Source organism: Homo sapiens, chromosome X, assembly GCF_000001405.40.
Source record: "Homo sapiens chromosome X, GRCh38.p14 Primary Assembly".
NCBI classification, from domain to species: domain Eukaryota; kingdom Metazoa; phylum Chordata; class Mammalia; order Primates; family Hominidae; genus Homo; species Homo sapiens.
Genome location: NC_000023.11, coordinates 70,615,564 through 70,639,866, shown reverse-complemented (window position 1 = coordinate 70,639,866; position 24,303 = coordinate 70,615,564). Strand labels below are relative to the sequence as shown.

Below are 24,303 nucleotides of genomic sequence, written 5' to 3'. Positions count from 1 at the left end.
GAGAGGCGCTCTGATTTTTAGAGTTTCCAGTTTTTCTGTTCTGTTTTTTCCCCATCTTTGTGGTTTTATCTACTTTTGGTCTTTGATGATGGTGATGTACAGATGGGTTTTTAGTGTGGATGTCCTTTCTGTTTGTTAGTTTTCCTTCTAACAGACAGGACCCTCAGCTGCAGGTCTGCTGGAGTACCCTGCAGTGTGAGGTGTCAGTCTGCCCCTGCTGGAGGGTGCCTCCCAGTTAGGCTGCTTGGGGGTCAGGGGTCAGGGAGCCACTTGAGGAGGCAGTCTGCCCGTTCTCAGATCTCCAGCTGCGTACTGGGAGAACCCCTGCTCTCTTCAAAGCTGTCAGACAGGGACAGTTAAGTCTGCAGAGGTTACTGCTGTCTTTTTGTTTGTCTGTGCCCTGCCCCCAGAGGTGGAGCCTACAGAGGCACGCAGGCCTCCTTGAGCTGTGGTGGGCTCCACTCAGTTCGAGCTTCCCGGCTGCTTTGTTTACCTAAGCAAGCCTGGGCAATGGTGGGCGCCCCTCCCCCAGCCTCACTGCCGCCTTGCAGTTTGATCTCAGACTGCTGTGCTAGCAATCAGCGAGACTCCGTGGGGTAGGACCCTCCGAGCCAGGTGCGGGATATAATCTCGTGGTGCGCTGTTTTTTAAGCCCGTGAGAAAAGCGCAGTATTCAGGTGGGAGTGACCCGATTTTCCAGGTGCCGTCCGTCACCCCTTTCTTTGATTAGGAAAGGGAACTCCCTGACCCCTTGCGCTTCCCCCCGCCGAGTGAGGCAATGCCTCGCCCTGCTTCGGCTAGCGCACGGTGGGCGCACCCACTGACCTGCGCCCACTGTCTGGCACTCCCTAGTCAGATGAACCGGGTACCTCAGATGGAAATGCAGAAATCACCCGTCTTCTGCGTGGTTCATGCTGGGAGCTGTAGACTGGAGCTGTTCCTATTCGGCCATCTTGGCTCCTCCAATGTCTTCTCTTTCATTTCTTGTTTTATTTATTTGAGCCTTATCTTTTTTTCTTAGTCTAAATAAAAGTTTGTCAATTTTGTTCATCTTTTTTTTTTTTTTTTTTGAGACAGTTGCTCTGTCTCCCAGGCTGGAATGCAGTGGCGCCATCTTGGCTCACTGCAACCTCCACCTCCCGGGTTCAAGCAGTTCTTCTGCTTCAGCCTCCTAAGTAGCTGGGACTACAGGCACATGCCACCATGCCCAGATAATTTTTTGCATTTTTAGTAGAGATGGAGTTTCACTACATTGGCCAGGCTGGTCTCAAAATTCTGACCTCAAGTGATCTGCCCACCTCAGCCTCCCAAAGTGCTGGGATTACAGGTGTGAGCCACCATACCTGGTGATTTTGTTTATCTTTTCAAAAAAACTAACTGTTAGTTTCTAGTAAGACAAGTCTGGGTGGCAATGAACTCCCTCAGCTTTTGTTTGTCTGGTAAAGTCTTTATCTCTCCTTCATTTCTGAAGGATAGCTTTACTGGGTAAAGTATTAATTGGCAGGGTTTTTTCTCTTCGGCACTTTGAATATATCTTCCCACTCTTTCGTGGCCTATATTTCTGCTGTGAAGAGCACTGCTAGCTTTATTGGAACTCCTTTATATGTGATATGCTGCTTTTCTATTGTTACTTTCAGGATCCTCTCTTTTATGTTGATTTTTGACAGTTTGATTATAATATGTCTTGGTGTTGTCTTGTTTGGATTGTATCTTATTGGAGACTGATGACCCTCCTGTACCTGTATATTTATCTTTCCCCAGGTTCGGAAAGTTTTCTGTTGCTATTGATTGAAATGTGTTTTCCAGACCTTCATATCTCTTTTCTCCTTATTGAACTCCTATAATTCAGATATTTGCCCTTTTGTTGTTGTCCCATAAGTCCCTAAGCTTTTTTTTTTATTGAGGAAGATCTTTTTTTAATGTTATTTTTTTTTTATTTCCAGCTTGTAAGTTCAGGGGGACATGTGCAGGATGTGCAAGTTTGTTACATAGGTAAACGTGTGCCATGGTGGTTTGCTGCATAAATCATCCCATCACCTAGGTGTTAAGTCCAGCATCCACTAACTGTTCTTCCTTATGATATCCCTCCTCCCAGCCCCCACCCTCCAGCAAGCCCCAGTATGTGTTGCTAACCCCCATGTGTCCATGTGTTCTCATCATTCAGCTTCCACTTATAAGTGAGAACATGCAGTATTTGGTTTTCTGTTCCTGCATTAGTTTGCTGAGGATAATGGCTTCCAGCTCCATCTATGTCCCTGCAAAGGACGTGGTCTTGTTCCTTTGTATGGCTGCATAGTATTCCATGGTGTATATGTACCACATTTTCTTTATTCAGTCTATCATTGATGGGCATACGTTGATTATATGTCTTTGCTATTGTGAATAGTGCTACAATGAACATACGTGTGCATTATTTTTATAACAGAATGATTTATATTCCTTTGGGTATATACCCAGTAATGGGATTGCCAGGTCATATAGTATTTCTGCCTGTAGGTCTTCGAGAAATCACCATACTGTCTTCCACAATGGTTGAACTACTAATTTACATTCCCACCAACAGTGTAAAAGTGTAAAAGCATTCCTTTTTCTCCACACACAACCTTGCCAGCATCTGTTGTTTTTTGACTTTTTAATAATAGTCATTCTGACTGGCATGAGATGGTATCTCATTGTGGTTTTGATTTGCATTTCCCTAATGATCAGTGATGTTGAGCTATTTTTCATACATTTGTTGGCCATGTGTATGTCTTCTTTTGAGAAGTGTCTGTTCATGTCCTTTGCCCACTTTTTAGTGGGTTTTCTTTTTTTTTAATTTGCTTAGGTTCCTTGTAGATGCTGGGTATTAGGCCTTTGTCAGATGGATAGATTGTAAAAATTTTCTCCCATTCTATAATTTATTTGTTCATTCTGATGATGGTTTCTTCTGCTGTGCAGCAGCTCTTTAGTCTGGGAAGGCACTTTATTGGCCTATCAAGGAACTATGGGTAGGCTGTTTTGCATGGTTCACATGTGTGCTGACTCCTGGAGTCCTTTGGCAGCCTGGCCTTGTTCCTGGATTAGCAGCTGGGTGGGCCTGGATGCCTAGGTCCATGGGGTTGGATCTGGAGCCTATATCCACTGAGGTGGACTTCTTGATTGGGTCTGAAGGATTGGGCTTGGAGCCTGTATCCAATGGGGCTGGCCTGAAGTTTAGGCCCCCATTGGCTGACCAAACACTAAAGTGGTGAGTCTGAATCTGCAAGAGCCAGCCAGGTGGGAATGGGCCTTGTGCCTGGGTCCCCTGGGATAGGCCTGGAGCCTGAGTCTGTAGGGGTTGGCCTGGCACTGGGGTGGGCCTCAAGCCTGAGGACTAGGGCAGGCCTCAGTCCTAGGTCAGTGGGTGCTGGCCTGGAACCTTGGTTTGTAGGGGTGGTTTTAGAGCCTCAGTCCATGGGGGCTAGCCTGGCACCTGGGTCTACTGGGGTGGTACTAGACCCTTGGCCTACTGCAGCAGGCCTGGACCCTGGGTCTACTGGAGCTTGGGGCCACTGAGACAGTCCTAGAGCCTGGAGCTGGCCTGGAGTTGGGGCAGATGTGGAGCCTCGGGCCACAAGGACTGCCTTGAAGCCTGGGATTGTTGGTACTAAATTGCTATTTGGAGACACACTGGCTGGCCTAGTGTGTGGGGCTGTGGGGACCTGCCTGGGGCCTGGGTCTGTGGGGGCCAGCCTGGGGGATGGATGTGTGTATGCTAGCCTGGAGGCTAGGTCTGTGAGGTCTGACCTGGGTCCTGGAGCTGCAGGAGCTGTCCTGGAACCTGGCTGCATAGGGGAAGTGCTGAGGCTTTGATCCATGGGGGCCAGCCCATCCCTAGGGTCTAAATTGGCTTGGACCCTTGGTCTGCTGGAGCAGACTTGGACCGTGGCTCCACTGGAGTGTGGAGTGACATAAGCAGGTGTGAAGGCTGTGTTCATGAGTGCTAGCCTCGTACCTATGGCCAGGGGTACAGATCTGGTATTGGGGCAGGCCTGTAGCCTGGGGCTGTGTGGGCTGACCTAGCTCTGAGGTGGTCTGAAAACCTGGGGTATGCCTGGATCCTGGGGCTGCAGGGGCTGGCCTGGCACTGAGTAGGCCTGGATCCTATATCTACAAGGAGCAGCCTAGAGGCTGGGTCCATGGGTGCTGACCTGATGACTAGGGCTGTGGGGCTGGCCTAGTGCTGAGGCAGACCTGAAGCCTGGGGCTACGGGGGATCCAGCTTCATACTGGCAGCAATCTGGTGCCTGGAACTACTGATGTCAGCCTCGTCCTAAGGATAGAGACTGCATCTAAAGCCTGAGTCTGTTAGGACTGCTATGGCACTGGGACAGGCCCAAAGCCTGGGGCTAATGGGTCTGGTCCAGCACTGGGGCCAGTCTGGAGCCTGAATCCGCTGGGGTTGGCCTGGTGATGTGGCAGTCCTAGAGATCAAGTCCTTCGGGCAGGTCTGGAGCCTGGGTCTGCAGGATATGACCTGGAGTCTGGGGCCATGGGGGCCTGCCCAGTGATGAGTTTTACTGCCGCCAGCCCATTGTTGTGGTCTGAGGTAAATTCCAGTACTCACTTTCCTCTTCTTCCCCTAAGTGGAGGATATCTGTCTTCATGCTCTATGGCCTGGGGTTGGGGGAGGGGTGACATGGGTATTAAAAAGCTGTTGTTCCTACACTCTTCAATGCATCTTTTCTATTTCTGTGCCACAGCCAGGTGCTGCAATCTCTCACCTAGTTTTCCTAGCTCTTGTGGAGGTATTTCCATGTGTGGATAGTTGTTCAAATTGATGTTCTTGTGGGGAATGAGCGCTGGAAAGTCCTATTCCACCATCTTGTTGATGTTCAGTGGACACAAGCTCTTTATCAGACATGTATTTTGCAAATTTTTTCTTTTTATTAACACCGTCTTTCATGAACAGAAGTTTTAAATTTCGACATAGTCCTATTTATTTTTCTTCTTTTATGGATTGTGCTTTTGGCATTGTAGTTGAGAAATCTTTGCCTACTGCAAGGTGACAGAAAAGGTCTCATGTTTTCTTCAAGAAATTTTACAGTTTTAGGTTTACATTTATGTCTATGAACAATTTTTAGTTAATTTTTGTATTTGGTTCAAGGTATGGATTGAAAATTTTTTTTTTTTTTTGCACATGACTATCCAATTGTTCCAGCATCATTTGTTTAACAAACTATTCTTTCTCTGTTGAATTGCCTTTGTGCCTTTATCAGAAATTAGTTGTCATATATGTGTGGATCTCTTTCTGGACTCTATTCCATTCCATTCTTCTATTCATCCATCCTTACGCTATTCCCATACTGTCTTTATCAGTGTAGCTATGTAATAAATTTGAAGTCAACTTTAACAAATCCATCCTTACACTATTCCCATGCTGTCTTTATTAGTGTAGCTATGTAATAAATTTGAACCCCAACTTTGTTCTCTTTCTAATTGTTTTGGCTATTCCAAGGCCTTTGTATATCCATATGAATTTTAGAATCATTATTTTAAGTTTTGCATAAATGAATTTTGATTCGTATTACATTGAATCTATAGATCAGCTTGGGGATAACTGACATCTTAACAACGTTGCTGAGTCTTCCAAACCACGAACAACTTACATACCTCCATTTATTTAGGTCTTTAATTTCTCTCAGCAATGTTTTCTACTTTTCATTGTACCTGTCTTCTGCATCTTTTGTCAGATTTATCCCTAAGTACACTATATTTTATGCTATTTTAAATGGCATTTTAAAAAAATTTGGTTTCCGATTGCTTATTGTTGATATGTAGAAATACAAATGATTTCTTGTATATTGATCTTATATCCCACAACTTTGGTAAACTCACTTATTAGTTGCAGTACAGTACCTTCCCTGTAGATTCCATCAGATTTTATTTTATTTTTGTTTTGTTTTGTTTGTTTGTTTATGAGACCTGTTCTGTTTCGAGACCTGTTCTGTCACCTAGGCTGGAGTGCGGTGGCATGATCTCGGCTCACTGCAACCTCCACCTCCTGGGTTCAAACGATTCTCGTGCCTCAGCCTCCCAAGAAACTGGGATTACAGGCATGCACCACCACGCCTGGCTAATTTTTGTATTTTTAGTAGAAATGGGGTTTCACCACGTTGGCCAGGCTGGTCTCGAACTCCTGGCCTCAAGGAATCCTCCCACCTTGGCCTCCCAAAGTGCTGGGATTACAGGCATGAGCTACTGCACCAGCCCCATCAGATTTTCTAAATAGACAATCATGTTGCCTGTGGGTAAAGATAATTTCACTTCTTTTTCAATCTGGGTGCAATTTATTTTTTTCTTGCTTTGTTGCTCTTGTTAGATTCTCCAGTAAAATTTGAGTAAAACTGATGAGAGTGGACATCCTTATCTTTTTCCTGATTTTAGGGGGAAAGCATTCAGTCTTCCACCAGTAAGTATGTTAGCTGTAGGTTTTTCACAGATATCCTTTATCAGGTTGAGGGAGTTCCATTTGGTGGTGGGAGGGGTAAGGAATGGATGTTGAATTTGGTTGTATGGTTTTCTGCATCTGTTGAAATGGTCAATTTTTAAAAAATTGTTAATATAGTCAGTTACATTAATTGATTTTCAAATGTTAAACCAATGCTGTATTTCTGGAACAAGCCCCACTTGATCATGATGTATACTCCTTTTTATATAATTTGATTTGCTAATGGTTTGTTTAGAATATGTGTATCTATGTTCATGAATGAAATTGGTTTGTAGTTTTATATTCCTGTAATGTTTTTGGTTTTGCTATCAGAGTAATACTGACTTCATAGGGTGAATTGGGAAGTATATTCTCCTTTTCAGTTTTCTGGAAGAGTTTGTGTTGAAATGATATTATTTCTTCCTCAAATGTTTTTGGTAGATTTCACCAGTGAAGCCATCTGGGACTGGAGTTTTCTTTATGCAAAGGTTTTTAATTATAAATTAAATGTCTTTAATAGATATAGGGCTATTCAAGTTATCTATTATTTATTGATTTAGCTTTGGTGGTTTGTGTCTTTCAAAAATTTGTTTCATCTAAGTTGTTGAAATTATGGGCCTAAAGTTGTTCATAATATCCCCCATATTATCCTTTTAACACCTGTAACCTTTCTTATTTCTGATATTTGTAATTTATGTCTTCTCTATTTTTCTTCCTGGTCAGTGTAACTAAAGGATCAATCAGTGTAGAAGGTCAATTTTATTGATCTTCTCAAAGAACCCAGCTTTTGGTTTTACTAATTTTTCTCTATCAGTTTTGTTTTTGTTTTTGTTTTTGATAGAGTCTCAAAAAAACGAACACAGCTCACTACAGCCTTGGCCTCCCAGGCTCAGTTTATCCTCCTGCCTCATCCTCCCGAGTAGCTGGGACCACAGGTGCATGCCACTACACCTAGCTCATTTTAAAACTTTTTTGTAGAGATAGGGTCTCACCATGTTGCCCAGGCTGGTCTCAAACTCCTGGGCTCAAACGATCCTCCTACCTTGGCCTCTATTGTTTTTATCTGATTTCTATTTAATTTATTTACGTTCTGATCTTTATCATATCCATTCTTCTGCTTTCTTTGAGTTCCATTTGCTCTACTTCTTCTTATTTCTAAAGGTGAACACTGAGGTCATTGATTTAAGACCTTTATTCTGGTCTATCTGGACAGTTAATGCTACAAATTATCATCTAATTACTGTTTAGTGACGATACACAAATTTTGATATGTCATGTTTTCATTTTTTTTTTTTTTCAGGTTTTCCTTTAGCATTTTTATTAGACCCAAATGAAAACAAAGGCTAATTTAGAAGCCAAGCATTGATTTTCCCATTTGTTAATATTATGTCTTACAATGAGTTTTAACACTGAAACTCATCTAATATTAAACAGAAACGGTTGAGTTACTTGTTGATTTTCAATGGCTGTTTTTCCCCCTGCATTCCTCCATGCATTTATTTGTCCTTGTATCAACAATTACTTGAGCTTTACCATATGCAAAGGGGAAGGCTTTACTTCTCTTTGGAAACATAGCCTTCCCTGTTGCATACAGTATTTCCACAACACACAGTCTTCTGATTCGGAGGAAGTGACATGATGGTCTATATTTCAACAGTTCTTTTACAGTGAACTAACAACTTTATAGATGACACCATGACGTTAGGCTTTGAAACTTATGCGAGGGTGAGGATTAAGGAAAACAGAGATCTTTTCGAGATATTTATAATACTCTCAAAGGAGGGACCATTTGGATATCATATTAGTTTCCTGTTGCTGCTGTTGTAAAGGCTGCCAATAAATTACCACAAAGTTAATAGCTTACAACAACACAATCCATTATCTTACAGTTCAGGAGGCCGCAGTCCCAAATCAGTTCACTGGGCTAAAATCAGCGTGGAATCAGGGTTGGCAGAGGATGTTTTCATTTTAATTTGGTTCCAAATACTTTCCAATTTAACTTTGGATTCCTTTTTAAACTTGTGGATTATTTAGATGTGTTACTTATTTTCCAAATATTTGCAGATTTTCCAGAGAACATTCTTTTGTTGATTTTTAATTTCATTTCATTGTAGTCAAAGATCATACTTTGTATGACTTTAATCCTTTTAAATATATTGAGACTTGTTCTAGGGCCTAGAATATTGTTTTTCTTGGTAAATATTTCATGTGCACTTGAGAGGAATATACATTTTGCTGGTGTTGGGTTGAATGTGTTATAAATGTTAGCCACATCAAGTTGATTTAGTGTTAAGTGTACTGAATCCTTGCTGATTTTCTATTCTATCAGTTATTGAGAGAGGATATTGAAATCTTTAACTATAATTGTGGATTTGTTCATTTCTTCTTGCAGTTCTACCAGCTTTTGCTTCTTATATTTTGAAATTTTATTGGGTGCATAAGCATTCAGAGTTATGTCCTCATGATAAACTGATTATTGTCTTGAAATAACCTTTTATTGCCAATAATATTCTTTGCTCTGAAATTCACTTTATCTGATATTAATATAGCCACTCCAGCTTTCTTTTGATTACCTTCACTTTAGTGTATATTATCCCATCCTCTTCTTTCAATCAATTTTGCTTTTATATTTAAAGTGTATTTCTTGTAGGTGGCATATATTTAAAAGATGTGTTTTGTTTTGTTTTCAGTCTTACTATCTCTGCCTTTTAATTGGTCATTTGGTCATTTATATTTAACATAGATATTGATACACATAGATTTAAATTTAGCATCTTATTAATTATCTTCTGTTTGTCCCATTTGCTCTTTTTCCTTTTTTCTGCTTTATTTTGGATTAATTGAATTTTTATGATTACATTTATCTCCCTTTTTGCTTATTAGTTTGAACAAATATTTATTTGTTGCTTGAAGTCTATAGTACACATATTTAACTTGTCATATTCCACCTTTAAGAATATAATGGAATATAACACACAGCTACTCAATTTTTTATTTTATTCTGTATTATATTTCAAATTATGGATGTACCAAAGTGTGTTTTGCCCATTAATTATGATGGAATTTAGGCTGATTTCATATTTTACTCTTTTTTTTTTTTTTTTTCTGAGACAGAGTTTCGCTCTGTCACCCAGGCTAGAGTGCAGTGGCCCGATCTCGGCTCACTGCAAGCTCCGCCTCCCGGGTTAACGCCATTCTCCTGCCTCAGCCTCCCGAGTAGCTGGGACTACAGACGCCCGCAACTGCACCTGGCTAATTTTTTGTATTTTTAGTAGAGACGGGGTTTCACCGTGTTAGCCAGGATGGTCTCGATCTCCTGACCTCGCGATCCACCCTCCTCGGCCTCCCAAAGTGCTGGGATTACAGGCGTGAGCCACCGCGCCTGGCCCATATTTTACTCTTATAAACAATGCTGGATGAACATCCTTATGTGTATTTGTTTACTTTTGCAAATATATCCGTAAGATAAATTCACAGAAGTGCATGTGCAGTTGCTCAGTTGGGCATTTTTCTGGTGTTCAAATCCTCCTTGAAAGCTTAGCAACTCACATTACTTTATGAATACTAACATTTTAAAAATGTTCTTAAAATAAGTTCCAAATTCATTGTGGCATAATTAACCATAGATATGTAATTTCTTTGATTAGAGTATATCATTTTTGAATTTTTTTCTTGTTTTTCAGCTTTGCAGGCAATAATTACTTTAGAGAATATATTAACAGATGAAGAGTCAGAAGATAATGATCTAGTTGCAGAGAGAGGTTCACCTACCATGCTTCTAAGTTTAGCTGCCCAGTTTGCTCTAGAGGTAATTCATATGTATTCATCTACTAGATTTTTATCCCTTTTCCTTTTTGAAAGACAATTAATAGAATCATTATCAGTTAGACACAGAAGAGACCTTTACTGTTTGTTTTGCCTCATATTTTCATGCCAAACTTGGTTGCAGAACTGCTTTATTTCTTCTCATTTCACTATAATGCAGACTAAAGTAAATGAAACAGTGAGGTAACAGAGTTGTGCTCAAAACAACATAAAAATAAACGTAGCAAAACATTAATTTTTTAAAAGAAACTCCAAATTCAAAATGCCATACCATGTCAATAAATAGCTATCTATATAGAAACTTATCTTTCTCATCAATTTGAACAAAATGGTTTAAATTTCTGGAGATCCTTTGAGTTCATAACCACAAAATAGTATTAGTTTAGAAGTAATAAATAATTGTACCCCTGTTTGTTACTACAGAATTCTGGTTTTATTAATATATTGAATTAGGAAAAGCATAGTAGCATCTGTGGAGCTCTTAGACTAGGTTTGAATACTGGCTCTGCCATTTAATCTGTGCTTAACTTCTTCAAATCTTAATTTCATCCTTTGCAAAATAAAGATAATGCCTACCTCCAGGATTGTTATGAAAATCGATTAAGATGGCTGAAAATGTGCTTTATAAACTATTAAGTTTATCTTCTTTTTAAAACTACTTTAAATAGGAAAACCATCTTCCTGATCAGAACTACAGTTCCATATTTCTTCCAGTAGCTCTCTTTGGCTTTCTACATCAAATGTACATTTATAAACCTTCCTTTAAAAAGATAATTGCTTTTGGGTTTCCTCTCTTTCATCTTCTTCCCCATTCTGCACAAATACATTCCATATCTGCATCTGCCAAATACTTTTCTTCCTTCAGGAGTTCTATTACCCTTCTCACTAACATCAAAATACATATCATTCAAACTGTATTTAGCAACTACTTTGGGCAAGATATTGGGCTAGATGCTAGAAATATGTTCCTTCAGGACCTCACAAGTCAATTTGAACAGACAAGCCATGCATTAGGAAAGTAAGTCTACAGAATATAGAGTTCTATGTAAGTATATAGAATAAAGACCAAATAGCTAATATATATGTTAAAAATTACCAAAATTCAGAGTAGGAAGAGAGCACTGAGAACCAGAATCGATTTGGGAAGTCTCTACAGCGGAAGGAAACCTTAAGTTGGGCTTTGGAAAGAGTAGCATTTACATAAGTAAGAATGTTTTTTTAAAGGAAGAGATGGTATAAACAAGACATGGAGAAAGGAATGTGATTGGCTTGAGAGACACAGTGTTTGGTTAAAGTGATGGAGGGCTTATGTTTCCACCATTCCAGATGTTTTGCCTGATGTAATAGTGGCTTTTTTTTTTTTTTTGACAAAGTCTCACTCTGTCACCCAGGCTGGAGTGCAGTGGCGTAATCTCAGCTCACTGTAACCTCTGCCTCTCAGGTTCAAGTGATTCTTGTGCCTCAGCCTCCCATGTAGCTGGGATTACAGGTGTGCGCCAGCCACACCTGACTAATTTTTGTATTTTTAGTAGAGGCGGGGTTTCACCATGTTGGCCAAGCTGGTCTGGAGCTCTTGGCCTTAAGTGATCTGTCTACCTCAGCCTCCCAAAGTGCTGGGATTACAGGCATGAGCCACTGCACCAGCCATGACTTTTATTATTATGTTGATGCTATAGGGGAGGAGTATGAGATAAAGTAGAAGAAATAGCTGTGACAAGATTATATATACATTTTATTCTCTAAACAATAAGAAAATATTGATGGTAATTTATGTAAAAGTAGTGCTTTAGGAAAATAATTTGGGTTGTGCATGGGGAAATGAATGGGGAGAAATTATATGTAGGACAGAATGGGAGACTGTGATAATAATCCAGTTTTAAAATAATGAGAGTCTAGACAAGGGTAGTGAGAGTGGGGTATTAAGCAGGCAAAACATTGCTTTCTTTTCTTTTAAAATAAGCTACCTTATCTTTAAATCCCTTTACAAAATTCATTCCCCCACCTCCCAAGAGAAAATGTGGATATTCTAGGTTCTGAAAACTGAAGCAGTCAGGAAGAGAACTTCCACAGATTCCTACTACCTCTACTCACACACCAGGAATCACACCACATAGTCTGCCTTCTCAACTGCCACCATAGATTAGCTATCATGTTCCTTCCTAAAGCCAGTCTCTAAACTTACACACTTGTTTCTATCACCTCTTGCCTTTTTCTCACTCACTTTGTCAACATTTTATTCTCTTACTGGTTTATTCCCATCAGCATATGAACATGCTCATTTATCCCATATCAAACAAACAAAAAGTAAGAAAACCTCTTGACCTTCCTTCTCTCACCAACTACTCCCCAATTTCTCTTCTTCCCTTTGTAGTTAAACTCCTCTAAAGATTTGCCTATATTTACTGTCTCCAATTCTCTCTTGAGCTTACTCCAATCAGGCTTTTGCCCCACCACTCTAACAAAACTGCTTTTGTCAAGGTCACCAATGACCTCTTTATCGTAAATTGCAGTGGTTAATTCTCAGTCCTCATTGTATTTGACCTATCAGCAACATTCAATGCAGTTGATCACTCTTTCCTCCTTGAAACACAGTTGGCTTCCAGGACACCACATTATCCTTATTTTTATCCTACCTCATGAGTCACTCTTTCTTTCTCCTTTGCTAGTTCCTCTTTTCTCTTCAACCATTCTCAGTGTCAAATTATGAGCTCAGGAGAGGAGGTATTAGGGAGTTGAGAAGAAGGGATAAGGTATTAACTATTCATTCAGAAAAGTAAGAAAGTGAATGACTACGGAAGTGCAATATGCTTGCCAGTAGCACTAAGGCCATTTCATGAAGTTTTAAAATAAAACAAGTAGTTGTATGTATTTTTTTCTGGCCACATTCAGCTGATGAGTGGATGTAAGCACCAAAATCAGTAGAAAGTTGGACTTAATCAGAGTTGAGGTTTTGCCAGATGAATACAATAAAGCAAAAGAAGGGCAGGAAAATCAAGGAACAAGGGAGTGGTTATAATTAGTCTCCATGGAATTTAAACTGGGTATGCGGTAGAACATCAAGGGGATGAGGGACAGTGAAAAACTGGTAACATCAGTGGGTTGGGGGTCTTACTGCAGTTGAAGGATTGCTGGAGTCAGGGTAATAGAGGTATCAAGTTGGAAAGGTAAGAGGCGGTAGACAGAAAGTAGAATGTGTGAAAGTAAGAGCTGGGGTGGAGAACTAGGGGGAGGGAGGGAGACACCTAGGGCACAAAACTTAAGGAGGAACTTATTCTCTGGGTGGTACAAGTAAAGGCTTGGTACTTGTACAACACTGAGAGCCTCCTTAAATTTTTCACCCTAGGTGCTTCACTCACCTCACCTGTCCCACCCTACTCCTAGCCCTGACTGAGAGTGTGAAATGATTGCAATTGTTAGTAATGACAGAGTCTAGTGAATGACTGTGGGAGTAAATGGCTAAGGTAATTGTTAGAGTAAAATTTCAGAAACCAGGAAACTAGAATATTGGGAGGATCCTCTACCTATATATTGAAAATGCGGAAAATATGCCGCGCGCAGTGGCTCACGCTTGTAATCCCAGCACTTTGGGAGGCCCAGGCGGGTGGATCACCTGAGGTCAGGAGTTCGAGACCAGCCTGGCCAACATGGTGAAACCCCATCTCTAAAAAAACTACAAAAATTAGCCAGGCGTAGTGGCGGGTGCCTGTAATCCCAGCTACTCAGGAGGCTGAGGCAGGAGAATCGCTTGAACCCAGGAAGCAGAGGTTGCTTCAGCCTGGGTGACAAGAGCAAGAATCCATCTTAAAAAAAAAAAAAAGAAAAAGAAAAAGAAAATGCCAAAAATTAAGACAGGAGCAGTTTTTGGAAAATATAACTGAGCAATAAGTAAGTCACCAACAAATGAGAAGAAATGACCTGGGAGCTAGTAGGCCACAGCAACAATGAAGGGTAGTGGGTGATATAGTCTGGTTATAGGAAATTCAAAGTTGAGGATTTTAGGGAATAGAATGGGAGAATAATTTTAAAATGGCAATGAAGAGCAAGAAAGACACCTACTCCATCTCCAGGCCTATGGGTAAGCTAGTGAGAGCAAAAACAGCTACCACTTAAGAGGGCTTCAGTGGAAGCAGCATCCTTGGCAGAAACCTAGATTTCCATTAGAGCAAGAATATGGAGGAAACTTTTAGGGAAGAGGTTGCTGGTAGAGGAGATTTTGCTGAAAGTGGACTGAATTTCAGAGAGCATAGTGGAAGGGTTGGAGGAGTCGGGGAGAGATAGAAAAAGAGGACAGAAGAGGGGATATATGGAGACTTTTGGGAATAGAGTGCTGGAAATGAGGGTGACCTGACAATCTGGGGTTCTTTTGTTTACTGCTAATAAGTGGGGGATAAAGAGCACAATAAGATTAGTCCTAGTGGACTAAGGGTAGTATTGGCAAGGCTTTGAGTGTTTGTGAATAGGGAGGATTCGGTTTCCGGGGCTAATGCAAATGTGTCCTGTTTTTGTCAGTGAGTTGCATCTTCATTCTACCATCTTGCAGTAGCGTTTTTGAGAATACAAAATGAACATGTTTAGATATTTGTCTTATCTTTAATGAACAGGAATATAGATAATATTTTGCAGTATCACTTTGAGATGTAATTTAACGTATTATATTTGTTCTTTTTAGAATGGACAACAAATTGTGGCAGAAAAAGCTTTGGAATATTTAGCTCAACATTCAGAAGACCAGGAACAAGTTCTTACAGCTGTAAAGTAAGTAACCTACATCCTGTGGAAGAGAAAGTATTTCCTCTGCTTATCTTGCTCTTAGTCAATAAACTGCCAAAATAGTGCTATTGAGATCAAGGAAACTTACATAAAATAGCGAAGCAGAGGAGGGTGAGGTTGGGACTTGATAAATACTTAATGGTATGACTGAGAAAATGCCACAGTGAGAAATAAGAAACCAGCAGGATTCTAGAGTGGTTCTCCTGTTGGTCAATTACACTTGAGGCCACATTTCCAAAGGGAAATGGAGTCACATAAATAAAAGAGTCAGAGGAGTCTTGAGATACTTGCATCCCTTCAGTAAGGTAAATATTTAAAAATCATTCAGGAGAGATAGTATTTTTTAAAGCTTTTTAGGTTTTAAAACTTTACCAACTACCTTATTTTGTCAGTTTGTCATTATGCTGCCAGATCCCTTCAAAGAATAGTGATCCCAGTTTGAGACCCAAAGGCCAGTTCTAGTTCCTCTACAGAAAGAGAAAGATAAAGACTGATTTACCATACCTGATGTTCTAGCAGGTGTTTTTGAGCAATGGTATAAACTGTGGAACCATTTAAGAATTTGTTATAAGCAACGCTTTTGTTTTAAAACTCTTTTATTAAATTCCTCTTTCAAAATTATAAAATTGGTATGTTTTCATTGCAACTGTTAAAACAATAAAATATATATAAATTAAATAAGATTAATCTCCCCTTTACCCTCTCTTTTCTCACTTCTCCCTCCCAGAGTAATCAAGGTTAGTAACTTGGTATGTATTCATTCACACATGTTTCTTCCTAACCTAAGAATCACTTTCCATATTACTTTGTCATACAGGTGTTTGCTTCGTTTTCTTCTTCCAAAAATTGCTGAAATGCCGGAATCTGAAGATAAGTGAGTTATTTCAACAAAAATGATGTATTCCCCATTAGACAAATTATAGTAACTTACAATATAAATCATATATTCAGAGATACTTAGTGTAGTGGGTAAGATCAATACAGGTTTTGGGGCCAGTCTTCCTGGGTTCATATCCTGGCTCTGCTGCTTACCAGATGTGTAACCTTCAGCAAGTTTCTTAATGTCTCTGGGCTTCAGTTTCCCCAACTGTAAAGTGGGAAGAATAATAATACCTACACCATTGGGTTGCTGTGATGACTCAATGAGTTAAAACATCTAAAAGGCAAAAGACTTATGTGATCTGCAGAGAAACGAGAGTATAAGTTAATACATGTGAAACATTTAGAAGTGTCAGGAACTTAATAAGCCCTCAATAATGTTATCTATGATAGAATTATGATATTGCATCTGTTCCCCCTTTCTTAACAGATGACTCAAATATAGACATATCTCTTACTTTCCCACAGAACATATAACCTGGATGGCTTGTTGGTTATGATTCTGTATCAGGTCTGCTGAGAGTATTCAAATATATTTCTGTGCACAATATCTTTGGAATAAGATATTAAAACTTAACAATTCGTTGAAGACTTTGGTCACCAATTTTTCGTTCACAAATCTCACTACCTCCTGATTATTTGAAAGAAAACTCTACTCGGGGTGTTGATTAGGGATAACTTTCAGAGAAATATCACCCATCTCTGCATTCTCTGCTTAGACAAGAACTCTGTAATAGTTCCCTCTACTTCACTTTTGCAGCTGGAGGCAATGTATTTTTTCAAATAAATTCTTTTGGATATATCTTTGACTGAGGTAACATAGGACAGATGACTTATAACTGTCATTTTCATAATGCAAATTTTACCCAATTGCATATTATAAGTTTTGCCTTTTCTTTATAGGCTTCATAAATCCATTAGAAGGGAATTCAAACAAACCAAACAAAAGATGAAGCAATTGGAATTTTGAATAATGACCAAATATTTGCTGATACTAAGAAATTATTAACTTTTAGACATGATAATTGTAGTGTGGTTGGTTTTTTAAAAGATTGCTTATCTCTTACAGACACATCTTGAAATATGTATGGATGAAATAATGTGATGTCTGGAATTTGCTTCAAAATAATATGGGAGAGGAAGAAGTGGGTGGAGGTATCAAGGAGATAAGATTGATGATGAGTTAATAATTATTGAAGCTGTGTGATAGGTACATGAGGATTCATTATGCTTGTCTGTTAACATTTGGACATCTTTGAAGTTTTCACCAATAAGAAGCTTTTTTAAAAAAGGACTAAACCATGATAACTACTAGATTGTAAGAGTACCTTTAGGGCTAGGACTATATTTGTATTTATCTTTGTATCACTGAAACCTAGGGCAGTATCTGACACATAATTGCCATTCGATTTATTTAAATGACTGAATATTAGTTATTTATAATATCTCCAGCACTGGACTTAAAGATGCTTCATATTTCTCATAATTGTGGCATACAGTCAAACCACACACATTAAAACCAATTGGGAAATGGGGTAAGGGAGGGAATCCTGTTTGAATTAATGAGAAATTACAAACACTTTTTAAAATATACCTTCATTGTTTTCAAGTAAATGCAGTGACAGAGAACATCCTCTAGCAATGTTTTCAGGTAGAGGTTAGAACCTGATTTAACAAATAGATTAGACTAACTTGTAAAAAATATTTTAAGTGCCTAATTCAATGAGAGGGCTCAAGAGAATTGAATTGTAGGTTCAGCTATTTCAATAACTTTTGGTTTACTGTAGGCAATGGCAACTTCTTTAACTTCTCTAAGCTTTATTTTCCTCATCTGTAAAATTTTAAAAACTGGACTGGATAATTTTTATAGGCCTTTTCTGTTCCAAAATTCCTGTGGTTATAAATGAGCAGTATCTACCTAAGTACTAACAACTCATATGCTAAATCTTTTAAAAGCAGTTTTTCTCTTAAATAGATTATACATTCCTTTGCATGTCTTCATTCTTATTTGTACTGTATATTTTTATTAATGGACCCTTCCTAGATTATTTGATATGAAGTCACCGAATTAAGCAGTGAAGAAATCAACTTTAGCTTGGCTGAAATTCAAATTAATAAATTTACTGTAAGAAGTTACTTTATATAAACCAGACTTCTAAGATTTATCCCTGAAAAATCTGCTGCTTTTCCTGACCACAGTCTTTATATGTTAAACCTCTACTGATAAGGCCAGTCTTATAGTATGTTCTACCCTTCTTCCTGTAAACTTCCTTAGTTGAGTTTGCCAATACTTTCGTATTCATTCCTTTGTTTGCTTTAAGTTTTTATTTCATTTTATTTTTTAAGTTTAATATTTTATTTTTATTTATATATATATATATATATATATATATTTTTTTTTTTTTTTTTTTTTTTTTTTTTTTTGAGACCGAGTTTCACTCTTTCGCCCAGGCTGGAGTGCAGTGGTGTGATCTCGGCTCACTGCAAACTCCACCTTCTGGTTTCAAGTGATTCTTCTGCCTCAGCCTCCTGAGTAGCTGGGACTACAGGCATCCGCCACCACACCCGGCTAATTTTTGTATGTTTAGTAGAGACGGGGTTTCACTATGTTGGCCAGGCTAGTCTCAAACTCCTGACCTCGTGATCCTCCCACCTCAGCCTCCCAAAGTTCTGGGATTACAGGTGTGAGCCACCGTGCCCGACCCTAATATTTTATTTTTTTAGTTAAATTTTAGGTTCACAGAAAAGCTAACAGGAAGGCACAGAGATTCCCATACATCCCCTCTCCCCACCACATGCATAGCCTCCTCCATTCCCCGCCAGAGTGCTACAGTTATTACAATTGATGAAGCTAAATTGACATATCATAATCATTTGAAGTCCATAATTTATATTAGGGTTCACTCTTGATGTTGTACATTCTATGGGTTTGGACAAAGGTATAATGGCATGTATGTATCATTACAATATCATACAGAGTATTTTCACTGCCCTAAAAATTCTCTGTGCTCCACCTATTCATTCCTCCTTCATCAACCCCTTACTGTCTCCATAGTTTTGTCTTTTCCAGAATGTCATACAGTTGGAATCATACAATATGTAGCCTTTTCACATTCGCTTCTTTCACTTAGTAATATGCATTTAAGGTTCCTCCATGTATTTTTGTGTCTTGATAGCACTGAATGATATTGTATTGTATGAACGTATCACATTTTATTTATCCATTCACCTACTGAAGGGCATCTTGATTTCTTCCAAGTTTTGGCAATTGTGAATAAAGTTTCTGTAAACATTCATGTGCAGGTAACTTTTTAGCTCCTTTGGTAAATATTAATACCGAGGAGCATGATTGCTGGGTCATATGGTAAGACTATGTATGTTTGGTTTGTGAGAAACCGGTAGACTGTCTTCCAAAGTGGCTGTACCCTTTTGCATTCCTTCCTGCCAGCAATGAATAAGAGTCCCTGTTGCTGTGTGCCCTCACCAGCATTTGGTGTTGTCAGTGTTTGAGATTTTGACCATTCTGATAGGTATGCAGTGGTAACTCATTGTTTTATTTTGTATTTTTCTGATGATGTATGATTTGGAGCGTCTTTTTATGTGTGTATTTGTCATCGTATATCTTCTTTGGTAAGGTTTCTGCTAAGGTCTTTGGCCCATTCTTTTCTCCCAAGGATTTTAGGACCCTTGCCAGCAACCTCAGACCAAATACACTTCTAATTATACCACAGTATAATACCACAGTATAAAGATCCCTGGCGTTTGACCACAGATCCCAAATATAACAAAAGGATCATAACGGTTAAAAGACACTGGCACATGGCCGGGCATTGTGGCTCACAACTGTAATCCCAGCACTTTGGGAGGCCGAGGCGGGCGGATCACAAGGTCAGGAGATTGAGACCATCCTGGCTGACACAGTGAAACCCCATCTCTACTAAAAATACAAAAAATTAGCTGGGCGTGGTGGCAGGTGCCCAGCTACTCGGGAGGCTGTAGTCCCAGCTACTCGGGAGGCTGAGGCAGGAGAATGGCATGAACCCGGGAGGCAGAGCTTGCAGTGAGCCGAGATTGTGCCACTGCACTCTGGGCAACAGAGTGAGACTCCGTCTCAAAAAAAAAAAAAAAGATACTGGCACATTACTGGAGTCCCATTCAGTCATTAATAATTTGTCCAGTCCATCATTATATCATGAAATTGTCTCCCAGGTCCCAGGGCAAGGCTACTGAGGTTTCCAGGCTTCTGTTTGGTCAGATTCCAAAAGCAGGAGTGGTCTCCACAATATATGGCTTCACCTTTTCAGGCATCTGGTATAATTGAACTAAGAGACAATATCATCTTTTGCTTTGAGACTCTTTTGAGGTACTGATGTAATATTGGATTTCCCTTACTACATAACTCATTTGTTCATTTCTTACTCTCATCTACTATTCCTCCTTTTTTCTATTTATAACCAAACTTTTCCACATTTGAAAGAACATTAGGTGCTGGTCCAGATTACAGGCAACACTACTAATCTAGCAAATGCCTCCCCCTCAGTCCACTCCCATTTATATAAGGTAGGGTTATATAGATACAGAACTAGTGGACTATCTTGACCATTAAGCAATACAACTGCATTTACTCTTAACCCCAATTTTGCTAGATAGGGTAAAGACACACCCTGCCCCCAAGAGGCCCTTAGGAATTCTGACATAAAGATTTAAAAATATAGTTAGGTTTCTTGCTTAGGAATCTGCCCTGTTTCCAACACTTGTAGTTGCAGCCATGGTCTTGCTCATGTTTCATCAGGTAGGAAACATAAAGTTGAGGTGATATGAGGAGGAAAGAAAGAAAGAAAAAAATATTGTCATCATGCCAGTGTCCTACACCCTTGGGAAGAATTGCAGTCATACTAGCATCCTTCCCCAACTCCTCTTCCTCAGACTCAGCAGAAAAACAGAGGAGTCTATCTAGTGGGGACACTTCCTTAGCCCCACCCCCCATATTGAGTGTGAGCTTGTGAAGGCATGTAAGCCAGTCCTTCATCCCTATGTCTGCCCCCATTTTAGACAACCAATGTTTCAATTGCTTGTTCCGGCTTCCCTTTCTAACTATTATTCCAAGGAGGATATATCTCTGCCCGTTGTTGGACATTATGGGTTGTAAAGTGTGTTTCTTGGTCTGAGAAAATGTGACTCAGCAGCCCAAATTGGTGCAGTATATTCTGTTCCAGTTCTTTTATTACACTCTGAGCATTTGCATCTACCACTGCGTAAGCAAAGGCCAATCCAGAGTTAGTGTCTATTCCTGTCGAAACTCATACCCTGGGGCTATCAGCATCAGTCTGACTTGCTAGCTGTGTTCAAGGCCTTCCCCGTGAGGAATCTGCCACATAGCCATCTTAAGTCTCTGTCTCTTTTGTTGGAAAACAGAACAGTTATTGGCATTTTGTGCTTCAGAGGGTACAAGAGGAATATGTCCAGGTTCAACTTCAGAGGTTACAAGAGGAATATGTCTAGGTTCAACTCATTTCTTTTTGCTGAGTCCCCAGATGCCCACTAATTTCGTGGACCCAGGGGGCCGCCTCAAGGGAGCACACAGAGATATCCACTTGTTGATTCTCATCACCTTCCAAACCTGGAAGGGGATTCTTCTGATGGATATCAACATGTCCTACATTAATGCACCTCTCAGATTTCCATAGTGATTTTCCATAGAGTCATACACCATACAAACATCCTGTTAATGGACCAGTTTTCCATTTCCCTTCTGTAAGACTACATGGCCAGGTCATTGGCCACTGCCAATGAGTCAGTCAAAACCCAAACACAGGGGCTTTTACCACTGTTCAATTCTTCCTTCACTGCTAGGAAAACAGCATGCAGTTCTGCCTGCTAAGATGATTTGTTTTTACCTTCTTTGATCTGATGGTAGCCTTCCAAACAGAATATTGTTTGTTCACCTTGGAACTGCCATGCATAAATTAAGCAGCTCTTTGTCAATCAGTTGAGAACTGTTTATAGGGCACTGTCCCAATGACAATAGAATCCAGCAGCTCCTCATGCATTTCCAAAGTCAGTCCTAGGGGAAATGAGACTCTGCTCATGAGTACCTCCTCCTTGCATTCACAGGTAGCATGATCATGTATGTATAAACCACTTCCATTTTATTATGGAGTTTTTCTGGGCACTGCCCTCCCAATTAGAGTGTTTTTCCAATATCACCCAAGGCTTCATCATGGGTATTTCAGCTTTCAGGATTATTTTCCTCCACCATCCTTCCCATCCTTCCAAGTCTCCAATGTCTATTTTATCCCTTTCTGTGTCCATGTATACACATTATTTAGCTCCCACTTATACTTGAGATGTGGCATTTGACTTTCTGCTTCTGAGTTATTTCACTTAAGATAATGGCCTCCAGTTCTATCCATGCTTCTGCAAAAGACATGGTTTCATTCCTTTTATGGCTGAGTAGTATCTCATTATATATATATAATGTATATATATGTATTGTATATGTGTATATATGTATTATATATGTGTATATACATATATGTGTATATGTATTATATATAATATATAATGATATATATGTATATATAATGATATATATATATAAAACCTTCACTTATTCTTCTTTTGATGCTTTTCCTATCTTTATGTAGATCTGAGTTTCTGACCTATATCATTTTCCTTCTCTCTAAATAACTTCTTTTAACATTTCTTACAAGGAAATCTACTGGCAACAAATTCCTTCAACTTTCTTTGTCTGAGAGGTTTTCTTTCTTTTAATTTAATTGTTAATTTTTTCTGGGTACATAGTAGATGTATATATTTATGGGCTACATGTGATATTTTGATACAAGCATACAATGTGTAATAATCACTTCAGGGTACATGGGGTATCCATCACCTCAAACATTTATTGATTATACACTTTTAGTTGTTTTTAAATGTATAATTAAATTACTTTTTACTATAGTCACCTAGTTGTGCTAGAAAATACTAGCTCTTATACATTCTTCCTAACTATTTCTTTGTACCCATTAACCATCCTCACTTCCTTCTACCCCCCGCAACCCTTCCCAGCCTCTGGTAACCATCGTTCTACTCTCTATCTCCATGAGTTAAATTGTTTTAATTTTTGGCTCCCACAAATAAGTGAGAACATGTGAAGTTTGTCTTTCTGTGCCTGGCTTATTTCATTTAACATAATGACCTCCAGTTCCATCCCAGTTGTTGAAAATGACAGGATCTCAATTATTTTCTATGGCCGAATAGTCCTCCATTGTGTATATGTACCACATTTCCTTTATCCATTCATCTGTTGACGGACACTTGGGTTGCTTCTGAATCTTGGCTATTGTGAATAGTGCTGCAACAAACATGGGAGTGCACATATCTCTTTGATGTACTGACTATCTCTTCCTTCTTTCCTTCTGTCCTGTCTTCCTTTTAGTGAAGGTGATTTTTCTCTGGTGGTATGATTTAACTTCTTTGTTTTTTTGTGTGTGTATCTGTTTTATGTTTTTTATTTGAGGTTATCATGAGGCTTGCAAATAATATCTTTTAACCCATTATTTTAATCTGATGACTTAACACTGCTTGCATAAACAAATTAACTACTAACAAGCAAAAGAAAAATAATACAAATTCTACAGCTTAACTTCTTCCCCTCACTTTTTAACTTTTTGTTGTTTCTATTTATATCTTATACTGTCTATGTCTTGAAAAGTTGTTATATTTATTATTTTTGGTTGGTTCATCTTTTACTTTTAGTTTTTCTATTTAAGGGTAGTTTATACACTGTACTTACAGTGCTATAATATTGTGTTTTTTTCTGTGTATTTATATATTACTAGTGAGTTTTGTACCTTCAGATGCTTTTTTCTTGCTCATTAACATCCTTTCATTTCTGATTAAAGTACTCCCTTTAACATTTCTTTTAGGACAGGTCTGGTGTTGACGAAATCCCTCAGCTTTTGTTTGTCTGGGAAAGCCTTTATTTCTCCTACATGTTTAAAGGATATTTTTGCCAGATAATACTATTCTAGGGTAAAAGTTTTTTCCTTCAACACTTTGAATACGTCATGCCATTGTCTCCCAGTTGTAAGGTTTCCATGGAAAAGTTTGCTGCCAAGCATATTGCAACGCCATTGTATGTTGTTTCTTTTCTGTTGCTTTTAGGATTCTTTCTTTATCCTGAACCTTTGAGAGTTTGATAATTAAATGTCTTGAGGTAGTCTTCTTTGGGTTAAATCTACTTGGTGTTCTGTAACTTTCTTGTACTTGGATATTGATATCTTTCTCTAGATTTCTCTAGTTTTCTATTATTATCCCTTTAAGAAACTTTCTACCCATGTCACTTTCTCTGCCTCTTCTTCAAGGCCATTAACTCT

At 39.1% G+C, this 24,303-nt stretch overlaps 1 protein-coding gene across 7 annotated transcripts in view; it reads left to right on the top strand.

Moving 5' to 3' along the window:
* The window catches only part of TEX11 (testis expressed 11), a 397,485-nt gene that overhangs the window by 268,845 nt on the left and 104,337 nt on the right, over positions 1 to 24,303 (top strand). For all 7 annotated transcript variants that reach the window (XM_017029649.1, XM_017029650.1, XM_017029651.2 and 4 more), the window contains 3 exons: positions 10,132 to 10,256; positions 14,943 to 15,028; positions 15,861 to 15,917. In XM_017029649.1, the coding sequence (XP_016885138.1) occupies positions 10,132 to 10,256; positions 14,943 to 15,028; positions 15,861 to 15,917 (268 nt within the window). The remainder of the gene's footprint in view (positions 1 to 10,131; positions 10,257 to 14,942; positions 15,029 to 15,860; positions 15,918 to 24,303) is intronic.